The sequence below is a fragment of the Homo sapiens genome, chromosome 1, assembly GCF_000001405.40.
Source record: "Homo sapiens chromosome 1, GRCh38.p14 Primary Assembly".
Taxonomy (NCBI): domain Eukaryota; kingdom Metazoa; phylum Chordata; class Mammalia; order Primates; family Hominidae; genus Homo; species Homo sapiens.
Window position 1 is genome coordinate 98,677,807 of NC_000001.11, and position 14,261 is coordinate 98,692,067.

General features: G+C 36.9%; 1 protein-coding gene across 9 annotated transcripts in view; it reads left to right on the forward strand.

The window, feature by feature from the left end:
- The window catches only part of SNX7 (sorting nexin 7), a 99,182-nt gene that overhangs the window by 16,488 nt on the left and 68,433 nt on the right, over positions 1 to 14,261 (forward strand). For 8 of the 9 annotated variants that reach the window (NR_033716.2, XM_017001425.3, XM_017001428.2 and 5 more), the window contains 3 exons: positions 7,079 to 7,261; positions 13,269 to 13,379; positions 13,729 to 13,893. Coding sequence is in view for 8 of the 9 variants with exons in the window: in NM_015976.5 (NP_057060.2) it covers positions 7,079 to 7,261; positions 13,269 to 13,379; positions 13,729 to 13,893 (459 nt within the window). In the remaining variant the exon portion in view is untranslated. The remainder of the gene's footprint in view (positions 1 to 7,078; positions 7,262 to 13,268; positions 13,380 to 13,728; positions 13,894 to 14,261) is intronic. The other variant, NM_152238.4, reaches the window with a different exon arrangement.

A 14,261-nucleotide genomic window follows, 5' to 3' on the forward strand; every position in this document is an offset into this window, starting at 1 on the left:
GGTGGAGGTTGCAGTGAGCCCAGATCGCACCACTGCACTCCAGCCTGGGTGACAGAGCGAGACGCTGTCTCAAAAAAAAAAAAAAAAAGAAATAGAGGTATATCATTCTAATTTGTGAACTCTTGGTATTTTATATCTGTATCTAGCCATAGATCTAGAGCTGTATGAGTCTGTGTGTGTGTGCGTGTGTGTGTGTGTGTGTGTGTGTGTGTGTGTGTTAGTCTGTTCTTGCATTGCTATAAAGAAATACCTGAGGCTGGGTCATTTATAAAGAAAAGAGGTTCATTTTGGCTCATGGTTCTGCATGCTGTACAGGAAGCATGGTGCTGGCATCTACCTGTAGTGAGGGCTTTAGGCAGCTTACGATTGTAGCGAAAGGTGAAGGACGGCCAGCATGTCATGTGGCCAGAGAGGGAGCAAGAGAAAGAGGACGATCCAGGGTCTTTTAATAAATCAGATATTGCCTGAACTCATAGACTGAGAACTTACTCATTAACATGAGGATGGCTCCAAGCCATTCATGAGGGATTCACCCTAATGATCCAGACACCTCCCACTAGGCCTCACTGCCAACATTGGGGGTCACATTTCAACATGAGATTTGGAGAGGGCAAACATCCAAACTATATCAGTGTACATATGTATGTGTATGTCTCATATATTTATTTCCTAGCATTAATATCTTGGTTTTGTAAATACCAATCTTCTCTAAAAGGAACCAGAGCTCCTCGGAGAAATGTCTCATTCCAGAGCTTGGGCAGGGAAATAACAAAATATTATAAACTTGAAACATCTTGTTCTAAAAAGTAAAGTGCTCAAAGAATAATGAAGACATAGCAAAAACATACTGGTGCAGCTTTAAGGGGCTCCCACTTGTCAAACTTGGGACTGTTTAGACATCAAAATAAATTATGATGTTAATGAATTATATCCACTGAATAAAATAGGAATCTGTGAATCTGTAGTCATATAATTAATTTGAGTCTATAGTCATATAATTAATTTAAACAAAATATTATACTCTTTAGTCTCCTTAGTGGAAAACCTATTGATGGTATCAACATTGAAAAATAAAAAATAGCAGTATACATATATACACTAATATAGTTTGGAGTGAGAGGGAATGAATAAATGAATAATGAACACTCAGGAAAACAAAAACTGGGCTGGCACAGTGGCTCACACCTGCAATTCCAGCACTCTGGCAGGATGTATTAATCTGTTTTCACACTATTAATGTGTTTTCACACTGCTGATAAAGACATAACCAAGACTGGGCAATTTATATAGGAAAAAGGGTTTAATGGACTTACAATTCTGCATGGCTGGGGGAGCCTCAATCATGGTGAAAGGCAAGGAGGAGCAAGTCTCATCTTACATGGATGGCAGCAGGGCAAAAGAGCTTGTGCAGGGAAACTCCCATTTTTAAAACCATCAAATCTCGTGAAACGTATTCATTGTCATGAGAACAGCATGTGAAGACCTGCCTCTATGATTCAATTACCTTCCACCAGGTTCATCCCACAACACATGAGAATTGTGGGAGTTACAATTCAAGATGAGATTTGAGTGGGGACACAGCCAAACCATATCACTCCACCCCTGGCGCCTCCCAAATCTCATGTCCTCACATATCAAAAACAATCATGCCCTCCCAACAGTCCCCAAAGTTTCATCTCATTTCAGCATTAACTCAAAAGTCTGCAGTCCAAAGTCTCACGTGAGACAAGGCAAGTCCCTTCCACCTATGAGCTTCTAATATCAAAAGGTTAGTCACTTCCTAGATACAATGGGGGTACAGACATTGGGTAAATATACCCATTCCAAATGGGAGAAATTGGCCAAAACAAAGGGGCTACAGGCTCATGCAAGTCTGAAATCCAGTGGGGTAGTCAAATCTTAAAACTCCAAAATGATCTCCTTTGACTCCATGTCTCACATACAGGTCACACTGATGCAAGAGGTGGGTTCCCATGGTCTTGGGCAGCTCTGCCCCTGTGGCTTTGCAGGGTATAGCCTCCCATCTGTCTGCTTTCATGGGCTGGCATTGCGTGTCTGTCTGTGGCTTTTCCAGAGGCACAGTGCGAGCTGTCAGTGGATCTACCATTCTGGGGCCTGGAGGATGATGGCCCTCTTCTCACAGCTCCACTAGGTGGTGCCCCAGTAGGGACTCTGTGTGGGGGCTCCAACCCCACATTTCCCTTTTGTACTGCCCTAGCAGAGGTTCTCCATGAGAGCTCCATCCCTATAGCAAACTTCTGACTGGACATACAGGCATTTCCATACATCCTCTGAAATCTAGGTGGAGGTTCCTAAACCCTAATTCTTGACTTTGGTGCATTGTCTGTCCCAACACTGTGTGGAAGCTGCCAAGGCTTGAGGCTTGCACCCTCTGAAACCATGACCTGAGCTCTATGTTGGCCCCTTTCAGCCATAGCTGAAGCAGCTGGAGTGGCTGGGACACAGGACACCAAGTCCCTAGGCGGCACACAGTATGGGGACCCTGAGCCCAGCCCACAAAACCACCTTTTCCTCCTAGGCCTGTGGGCCTATGCTGAGAGGGGCTGCCATGAAGACCTCTGGCATGCCCTGGAGAGATTTTCCCCACTGTCTTGGGGATTAACATTCAGTTCCTTGTTACTTATGCAAATTTCTGCAGCTGGCTTGAATTTCTCCTCAGAAAATGGGATTTTCTTTTCTATCACATTATCAGGCTGCAAAAGTTCTGGACTTTTATGCTCCGCTTCCCTTGTAAAACTAAACGCCTTAAACAGCACCCAAGTCACCTCTTGAATGCTTTGCTGCTCAGAAATTTCATCCACTAGATACCCTAAATCATCTCTCTCAAGTTTAAAGTTCCACAAATCTCTAGGGCAGGGGCAAAATGCCACCAGTCTCTTTGCTAAAACATAGCAAGAGTCACCTTTGCTCCAGTTCCCAACAAGTTCCTCATCTCCATCTGTGATCACCTCAGCCTGGGTTTCATTGTCCATGTCATTATCAGCATTTTAGTCAAAGTCATTGAACAAGTCTCTAGGAAGTTCCAAACTTTCCCACATTTTCCTGTCTTCATCTGAGCTCTCCAAACTGTTCCAGCCTCTACCTGTTGTCCAATTCCAAAGTTGCTTCCACATTTTCAGGTATCTTTTCAGCAGTGCCCCACTCTTAGTACCAATTTACTGTGTTAGTCCATTTTCATGCTGCTGATAAAGACATACCTGAGACTGGGGCATTTGTATAGGAAAAGGGTTTAATGACTTACAATTCCACGTGGCTGGGGAAGCATCACAATCATGGTGAAAAGCAAGGAGGAGTAAGTCACATCTTACATGGATGGCAGCAGGCCGAAAGAACTTGTGAAGGGAAACTCCCATTTTTGAAACCATCAGATCTCATGAGACTTATTCACTATCAGGAGAACAGCACGGGAAAGACCCGCCCCCATGATTCAATTATCTCCCACCAGTTTCCTCCCATGACACATGGGAATCGTGGGAGTTACAATTCAAGATAAGATTTGGGTGGGGACACAACCAAACCTTGTCACAGGTCAAGGCAGGAGGATTGTTTGAAGCCAGGAGTTTGAGACCAGCCAGGGCAACATAGCAAGACCTTATCACTATAAGATATTTTTTAAAGCAGTAGAAGAATGAAAATGTAATCATAATTCACTATATGGCTTGGCTGTGAATAAAAATAATTTTTTTCTTAAACCTCTATCTACCTTAAAATGGTGATAAGATGATGGGAGAGAGAAAAACGTATGTATATATTTGAGAGAAAGGAAACATTGCCTATAAAGTAGCTTCGAATAGGTCTATACCATAATAGAAAGTGAAAGGTGAGAAATGGTTCCGGATTGAAGGGGACCAGAGATATAACAGTTAAATGTAACAGATGAACCTGGATTTAGTTCTGTACTAGAGGGGAAGAACATTTTAGGATATTTTTGGGACAGAGAAATTCAAAAGGGTCTGTGGATTAGACTGTTGTATTGCGTCAGTGCTAATTTCCCGATTCAAATACCTGGATCGGTACTATGGTTAGGTAGGAGAGTATTCTTGTTTTCTGAAAATACACACAGACCTATTTAGGAATAATGGGGCAACATGTTTCTAGCTTACTCTCAATAAGTAAAAGTTTTCTCATCCCTCCTTTTCTCTCTTTTGCTTTCTCTCTCCTTAACTTTCTTACACCAATTATAATTTATCTACAGATCTAACATAGGCATGCTTCCTATCACATTTATGTCATTATCAGTTTTCTTTTCTTCCTTTTTTTGTCCTTCTTTTACTTCCTTTTTTTAATTCCCTTTCTTCCTTGTTTTTCTCTCTCACCTTCTCTGTTTCCTTTCCTCCTCTGCTTATTCCCCTTTCGTATTCTGTTCTCCACCATCCCCTTTTCCTTCATCCCTCGCTTCCTTTATTCTTTCTCCTTGTCATCTCCTTGATACCCTGGATATTTATTTTCCTGGTCCAGTGTATATGGGCTGTTCTCTAGGTTTGCTGCAAAACTGTCAATGTAGAACATTATTTTCCAGGGAATTCCCTTTACTTTGATCTTCTGTTGTATCTCTTGTTTTTAGATTCTATTTTTTTCTTTCTTGGCATATTCTCTTATTTTGGAGAAGTAAAGAAGCTTCCAAAGAATAGGTACATGGGAAGTAAGTTTTTGAAATCTTCTATTTCTGAAATGGCTTAATTCTACCTGTATATTTGAATGACAATTGCCTGGATATGTATAATTCTAGGTTGAAAATACTTTTCTCTCAAAATTTTGAAGACATTAGTTTATTATCATGTAGTTTCCAGCATCACCATTTAAGAACTCTGATGCCATTCTGATTCCCAAGATTCCTCCTTTATTTTACTTATATTGTTTCTTAAATCTTTAGGGAATTTAAAAATCTCTAGTGTTATGAAATGTCATGGTGATGGATGCTTGTAGGAGTACTACCTACCCAACCAGTGTCCTGTTCATTTTGGGGAGACCTCACAGGCCCTATCAACTTTATGTCAAGGATATTTTTCTTTCTCATTTTCTGGAATTCCTTTTATTCAGGCACTGCCTGCCTGTATCCTTCAATTTAAAAAATCTTCTCATTTTCCATCTCTTGTTCTTTTGGTTCACATAGTAGGACAGTTCTTGAGCTCTGATTTTCAGACTTTCTGTTGCATTTTTATATTGCTATCATATTTTAATTTTCATGAGTCTCTTTTTTGGTTGGTGGTGTTGCTGTTCTCTGAATTTTCTTTTTAAAAAGAGCATGCTTTCATTCATGGATTTAATATTTTCTCTTATCTTTCTGGTGATTTCATGGTTTTTTAAAAAGTGTTTATGCTCTGTTCTATCTGCTTCCTCTAATCTTCTGTTTTGGTTTGTTTGTGACTTTATTTCACGTCAGAGCCTTTCCTCGTGTTTGGATGTTTGGTAGATCCTACACCAAATAATAAAAAGCAGAGTAGACATTCTGCATGCATGGTAGGGGCTTTGATGTAGGGTGGTTATGCAGAGACCTGGCTAATTCATTAGGGGACTACAACTGTCAGTTTTTCTCCAAGATCAGCTAAGAGAGGAAACTTCCAACTATGGTGGGTGCTGTGGTATGAATATTTGTGTCCACCCAGAATTCATACATAGAAATGCTACTGCCAAGCTGATGATAGTAGGAGGTGGAGCCTTTGGGTGGTGATTAGATCATGAGCGTGGAGCTCTCATGATTAGGATTGGTGCCCTTATAAAGGACCCCAGAGAGACCCTCCCCCCTTTTACCATGTGAGATTATAGTGAAAGGAAGCTGTTCTGTAAAGTGGGCCCTCACCAGACGCTGAATCTGCTGACATCTTGATCTTGGACTTCCTAGTTTAGAACTGTGAGAAATAAATTTCTGTTGTTTGTAAGCTACCTAGTTTATTGTAGTTTTCTTTAATAACAGCCTGAATGGACTATGATGGGGTGGGGGTTGCACCTTCCTGCCAACGTTCTTGGGACCAGATGAACAGGTTTGCATGTCTTTTAGTCTGGTATGCAGGACTTTCACTTGATATCTGTATTTTCATAGGACTTCTTCCCTATCCTACTGGATGCCCTCGAGCTCAGACCTTTCAGAAAGTAGACTTCCAGTGTTCTACCAAATTGGGGTGGGAAAGTTACCTGATTGCCTAGGGTAGGTGAGGGAATCTGAGGTTCTAACTCTTGTTTTATTAGATCTTCTTAATAACCAATCATCTGGTTTCTGCTCTGCCACAACCTTTATGTCCACAGGTTCTTGGTGCCTCCAATTCTTGAACCTTTCTGGCATTCTACATCATAAATATCCTTGCCTCTTCCTAGTTTACTGTTCTCTTCTAGATTACTTTTCAGTTTTCTCTGCACTGCTATTTTAGTTACCACTTGACGATCAGATCTCCAGTTTCCAAAAAGCAGTTGGCACATTTCGTTTACCATAGTTTTTTTCTTCTTATTCTTGCCTGAGTCCATTAGTGCTACTGTGACAAAATATCTGAGACTGGGTAATTTATAAATAATAGAAATTGATTTCTCACAGTTCTGGAGGCTGGGAAGTTCAAGATCAATATGCTGGCAGTTTTGGCCTCTGGCAAGGGATGCTCTCAGCTTCAAGATGGTGTGTGTCTTTTTGTTGTGTCCCCACATGGCAGACAGTGAAAGGGCAGGAGAGGCACTAGCTCGTTCCCTACAGCCCTCTTATAAGGTGGCTAGTACCATTCATGAGGGCTCTACCCTTATGACTTACTCACCTTTAAAGGCTCCACCTCTTAATACTATTGCATTGGGGATTAAGTTTCAACATGACATTTGGAGGGAACAGAAACATTCAAACCATAGCAATCCTTGAGGGTTTATACTTTTCATTTGTTTGTTTCTTTCTTTACTGTCATCTTTTGGGTGGGATTTTCAAGAGGAAACAGATAAAAATACATGTTCAGTATACCACATTTAACTAAAAGTCCAATAATCCCTTTTGTTCTTGATATATTTCATTAATATTGATAGCATCTAGAAATAGAAGAGTTTAATTTTTCTATTGATACTAATTTTTGAATGTTTTATTTCTTAGGATGCCTCATTGATGGACATGAACTCCTTCAGCCCTATGATGCCAACATCCCCTTTATCAATGATAAACCAAATCAAGTTTGAGGATGAACCAGATTTAAAGGATCTCTTCATCACAGTTGATGAACCTGAAAGTCATGTTACTACAATAGAAACTTTCATTACGTATAGGATTATTACTAAGGTAAACATTTGGTGAATATTTTCTTGAATATAGCTGCTTTTTTTTAAGCTTTGGAAGTAAGTACCTCTTGTTCATTATAATTCTGAACATTCCAAGATCTTAGCTGAATTGACTTTTACTTTTTCAAACCTTTTGGCTAACACATTGCTTCTTATCTGCCCTTCACTTGTTCTGTATTAAGTCAGTGAAATTCAACTTGACTTGAGAAATAGTCACTCATTTTATAGCAGCTATACTTCTTAGAATAAGAATATCTAGGTTTTTAGTTTAAAAAAGTATTAAGAAATACCTTTGGAAAAGATGGGCCTCAAGTTGTTAATAAAAAAAGAAAATGCTTAAACAGTTCGCAATATTATGTATTCAGATTTCTTTGGAAGATTATAAAATATGGTACCATTTGTTTTTCAAAGTGGGACAGGTGGCCACTTTGTCTCATGTATGAGATACTGTTATGTGTGCAATAATTCAAGAGCAAAGTAGATCTAGAACACAGATCTCTTTAATCGTAGGGCGAAGTGCTACAAAGACAATTTACCTCAGACACAATTAAGCAACCACCTAGTATAATCTGTATTTTAAGTCCTTTATTTAATAGCATTTGAAAATAATTCTCTTTATAATATTTTGTTTATGAAGCGTCACCCTAGACTTTTATATTTCATAAATGTAAAAAGTACATCTCTTTTTTTAGCTGAAAAAGTTCTGAACTATGTTTCTATAATCACTTCTTCCAATGAAACTGCCACACTGCTATTAGTTATGTTTCCTGAAGATATATATATCTTATTTCTTCACTTGAATTCTTAAAATCCTTTCTTGGCCCCTTATTTCAGGCAGAGCAAAGTGCCGACTTTCTTGTATGACATATAAAGAGGCTTCTCAGTCTGGTGCCCACTTACCATATAAGACTTATTTGTTACACCTCACATTCAGTACCTTGCTTTCCACTCAGGTAGAGCTGCTTCTGTTTTCTGAATATTTAGGGGATCTCTTGCTCTCAAAACTGCATATAGTTTTCCTTCTGTTTGCTGTGTCCATCCCCTTCTTAGACAGAAGAAGTCATGCTTAGTTTTCAATATACAACTCAAAATGTTAGATGCCTGTGAAAGCTTCTCTAGTTGTTACTGTCCCCTGGCTGAAATAGTTATTCTTCCTCTGTTTTCTCATACTGTTCTATTGAACTCTTAAGGAATGTAAAACATAAGAGTCAATATAGCAAAATATCAAAAGCATATATTTAATCCAACTAAGCTGTTTTTTTAAATCAATGAAACTGAGATAATAGAACTCACTTCTGTAGGGTTGCAGTAGAATAAGTAATCAATGCACACCCCACTTAGTAAAGTGCCTAACACACGATAAGTGTTCAGTAATTGCCATCTACCTGTATGTGAATAGATGTTTATTTGTATTTATTCTCAGTGAGTTTGTGAGTTTCTCAAGGAAGGTAACTATATTTTAAGTTATCCATAATTCCAAACACAAATCTTAGGACATAATAAGTAAACTATTTATTTTGTTGATGAATGAGTGAAGGAATTATCTTAGCTATATCAAGATGTGGTAGAGCAAGACAACATGGAGTTGAATCTTGATTTCTCTCCTTCCTTGCTATGTGACTTGGACAATTTAATTAACCTCTCTATATTAGTTTTCTTGTTTGTAAATAGGATAACAGTACTAACCTCATAAGGTCTTTATGAAGATTGAATATGTTAATACAGGCATACTGCTAGAGTAGAGCCAAATTTCTTCTATTACTACTGTTATAATTATCTATTGTCATTATCCATTCTAGCAAATAATTTGTGAAACTGAATTATTTTTCCATCATTTGCGTCTCTCAGAAAGACACTCTTTCTAAAGCCACCTTGTGAGTTTCATTCTGATCATAGACATACTGCTCTTCTGAGTTTTTCTATTTACACATACTTTAAATGGACTGGTCTTATAGAAGTAGTAATAGTAGTAGTAATAATAATATGAAAATATATAAACTAGCAAACATTTACTGTGTGACTGCTTTGTGCCAGGTAATATTCTAACCAGTTTCTACATGTTAACTCATTTAGGCTCACAGTAATCCTCAAACGTAGATATTATGATTTACCCCCATTTCATGCACGAGGACACCGAAACTTAGTAGCTTGTTAAAGGTTACACAACATTGTAATTAGCTGAGCTGGGATTTAAATCCAAACAGTTTACTTTCATAGTATACATTTTTTCTATTATATTTTTGTGCATTTAGGTATGGATGTGGTAAACTTTCAGTTTAACTATTATAAATGACTTCCATTGTTCTACTTCTAATTACTTTTACTATTTCATAGTATATAGACTATATCTATATATACAGAAATATATATTACAGATACAAATATATAAATAGTACATGTAGATCATGTTATCAAATAGTCTTTTCTTATTATCATTTACTTACTTATTCCACAAGTTTTATTGAGTACCCCGTTTGTCCCAAGTATTGTGCTTATATATTAAGAATATATCAGTGATCAGGATAGGTCTGACAAAAGGAACTTTCTGCTTTCCTGGTGTTTTCACTCTGAAGAAGGGGTGTTTGCATATGATGATATTAAATAATTAATTTTGTACTGTGTTAGTTTGTTCTCATGTTGGTAATAAAGACATACCCAGTACTGGGTAATTTATAAAGGCGGGACATTTAATTGACTCACAGTTCCACATGGCTGGAGTAGGGGGCTCACAATCATGGCAGAAAGCAAGGGGGAAGCAAGACACATCTTACATGGAAGCAGGCAAGAGAGAGCTTGTGCAGGAAAACCCCCATTTATAAAACCATCAGATATCATGAGCCTTATTCACTACCATGAAAACAGTATGGGGGAACTGCCCCTATGATTCAATTATCTTCACCTGGCCCCGCCCTTGACACATGGGGATTATTACAATTCAAGATGAGATTTGGATGGGGACACAGCCAAACCATATCATATACTAAGTAATTTCTTTATAGTTATAAATATTTTGAAGGAAAAATATTGGATATTATGAGCATGGGATACACCATCTAATTTGGAGGTTGAAAGATGGCTTTCCTGGGAAAATCTTAGTTTTGTAAATATTTATATTCATGGGTACTAAGGATTGTAAGGGTAAATGAATATACACATACATACATGGACAATCACCTATTTAGGAATACTTAAGAATGATCCAACTGTGAATGATTGTATCGGGAAGACCACATTTGTGGCATCTGTTCTTTTTATGGGAAATTACCCTTTGTTGTCTAGGTTAGCATATTTTAAGTGACTGTTATAGAGAAGTATTTTCTCTTTTGGAGATCTAAAGATGTACGTTCTCTTAGTACATATAAGAGTAAGAATGAAGAGATTTAACAAGGTACTTTCCTTCCACTTCCTCTTTGTGAAAACAAACCTATAAATGCCTGTCATTGTATAGTTAGGAGTTAAGCTGTATTCTTGATTGGCTGAACTGACTATTAAGTTTCATTTTCCCTCAAAAAAAGTTTTCTAAATAATGAGTTTAGAATAACTGTTCACACTTGACTGAAGGTTGGTATTTTTGGAATAAATGCTTTTGGGGGTAGAGATCACACAAGTTCATTAGTACTAAACTTCAAATACCCAAGCTTTTATGGTCAAACATGAAAAATTGGCCAGCATTTTCAATGTTGCTTCCATAGAAAACTGTATTCTATGTTAGAAGCATTATTTATACTCCAAATGCACTTTATGAAATACATGATATTTCTAAGTTGGATATATGTTATCAAACCCAGTTATTTCTACAGTTTGGAAGCTTTTGTTTGGAAGCTTTTGTGCATCTTTTTTCTTTTTTTCTTTTTTCGAGACAGAGTCTCGCTCTGTCACCCAGGGTAGAGTACAGTGGCGTGATCTTAGCTCACTGCAACCTCTGCCTCCTGGGTTCAAGTGATTCTCCTGCCTCAGCCTCCTGAGTAGCTGAGATTACAGGTGCGTGCCACTACGTCTGGCTAATTTTTGTATTTTTAGTAAAGATGGGGTTTCACCATGTTGGTCAGGCTTGTCTCGAACTCCTGACCTCGTGATCTGCCTGCCTCGGCCTCCCAAAATGCTGGGATTACAGGCGTGAGCCACTGCGACATCTTACAGTGATCAAATTTGTCCACTTTAGAAGGGACAATGATTCTATTACTTGCTGTAGGGAAATTAGTCTTGTTCCAAACCCTGCTGATAATGACTGTTTTCCTTATCATATTCCTACATATGTGTCTCTTACAACCCTTCAAGAGAAGAATGAAATCTTACAGTAGGAAGAAATAACATATTCTTCTCGTTGCTTGCACTTATCCTCTGTTTTCTTCTTCTGTTGCACTACATTAGAGAATTCTTTTGAGTCAGTGACAGAGTGATGAGGATAGACTGAACCAATTATTTGACTTGATTTTATATCTTCTTACTGGAATTTATACTAGATTGTTTTATGCTTACTTAAAATGTTGGATATTCTTAGGGACGTATACAGCTCAATCTTATTTTAACTGCTGGTTTTTTTCTTTTGAGTGCTTCATTGTTCGTTATGGCAATTTATATTCTTAGAAATTGGTAGTGGACCTGTACGTATGTACCCGGTACAAGGAGATGCTCAGTAATATTTTTTAATGAGTTACTCTAAACCATGTTTTGGGTGCATATGTATGTGTGCATGCATCTATTTGCATATGGACATACACTGACCAGTCTATATTATTAAACTGTGCTGGTATTTGATATAGTTTTCCTGTTTTTACCATTTCCATATCATGTACCATGTTGCATAATAGTTAAGATTTTGTAGTGTTTTGTGAACATTTAGTTTCTTAGATTTCTGCATTTCATTCGCTCCCACTTTTTCCCATTATAAAGGGAATGTTGTACAAAGATACATTGTATGATATTCTGAACATTCATTTTAAGAGAATAAACTTTGGAAAGTATAGCTTTCATGGACCTTATTTTATGACATTGAAGATTGCATCTTATGACTTGGACTGTTTAATTTACAATTGTGTACATCTGTGTGGGTGATGGATATTTCTGGTGAGTGTGAAATATATATGCAATGTGTTATTCCATGTTTACTTCTGCAGGAAAATTTCAACCTAAATATTACTGCATGTAATTTTTAATATGCAAAAATTCAGTTAAATAAGGTATTGGTGTGAGTGACTGTTTTCCTATGAGAGGTGAGTGTACATTAGATAACTCATATTTTTATCTTTGGCTTGGGACTCAGGCAATAGAAATGAGGTTGATATTGTACCCATGTTCTTCTTGTCATATGTGTTGGCATGGATTTTTGGTTTGTTGAGAACAGATATTTTAATGTATTTGCTTAATTTTTAGGAGTTTAGGCATATAACCCAAAATAAAATTCTTTGAGAAATGACAGGAAGATTTTCTTTTCACATCAAATGTCTATTAATTACTTTTTAAACAGTGGTAAAATCACTCTAAAATGTTAGAATTTTCATATACTAAAAGCAAATCCTAGCACAGCAATTCATTTGAGCAAATTCCAAGAAAACATTTTTCTCAGTTACATTCAGGTTATTTTCCAAATTGCAAAAATAGGACTTTCCTCAAATTCTGAATTCTAATCATCTTGAGAAAAGAAATATATTTGAAACCTAAATTCAGAACACACTTGCTTGTTAGCAAGAAAGTCATGCCAAAGATAATAGTAGTTAAAATCTTGTGGAAGGCAGATGGTTGTTGTAAGACAGATTTTTCAGTTTGGATTTTAAATTTAAGTATGATATTTGCTTTCTTTCTGGAAATACCAGAAAGTTTGCTTTATTTCATCTGCTACATGAATAGATGACAAAAAAGAAAAAAATTACAGGCTGACAAACACTGAATAATTAGGATGTGTTAATTTTTCTTAGAGACCCATTTATTTCACAATGTCTAAAATAACGTTAGGCAAATACCTTCTATCTTATATTGCATGTGCTGTTATTTTCTCTTACTTTCTTCAGACATCTCGTGGGGAATTTGACTCCAGTGAATTTGAAGTTAGGAGACGATATCAAGATTTCCTTTGGTTGAAGGGAAAACTGGAAGAAGCACACCCCACTCTGATTATTCCAGTAAGTTTGCAAAATTTTTTTTTTCATAGAATAGCTACCAGTTTTCTAGTGAGTCTTTTTGAATGCCTAAAACCTAATTTCAGACCTTAAGTTCACTGTAATTCATTTATCTTAGGAATAATATTTATTTCTAAGTGTTTCAATCAATGTACATTTTTTTTTTAAAAAAAACTCTTCATAATGTGTTATGATTTCTCATTTTTGGTTCTAACATTGTGAATTTTTAAAAATTATTTTTATAAGAAATGATCAGATGTTCAACTAGTCTTCCAAACAGGGAAAGCGTAGAATTGCTTATAAACCTATGGCTAATAATACTTGAATACCTTTTTAATTTTTTTTGCCTTAGCCATTGCCAGAAAAGTTTATAGTAAAAGGAATGGTGGAACGCTTTAACGATGACTTCATTGAGACACGCAGGAAGGCTTTACATAAATTTTTGAACCGAATTGCTGATCATCCAACTTTAACATTTAATGAAGACTTCAAAATTTTTCTCACTGCACAAGCTTGGGTAAATGATTTTTATTTATACTCATATAATCTTTGGGTGTCTGTATCTATAGTAGATTGTATTGTTCCTCTTGTTTACCGTTACAAATCATGCAGTGGTGTACTTGAATTGAGATGGAATTTTTCAGAAACACTGGAGAGTTATCCTTCAGATATAACCCTGTGTCAAATCTACATATAAATATTACAGAAATCTTGTATCTTCTCCATATATATACACACACACACACACACACACACTCTCTCTCTCTCTCTCTCTCTCTCTCTCTAATGTTTTTATGTCAGGGTGCTTCTTGCATAAATAGCAAATACTGAACAGGTATAAATATATTTCTTTCATTGACACTGTAGTTGACCCTTGAACAACAT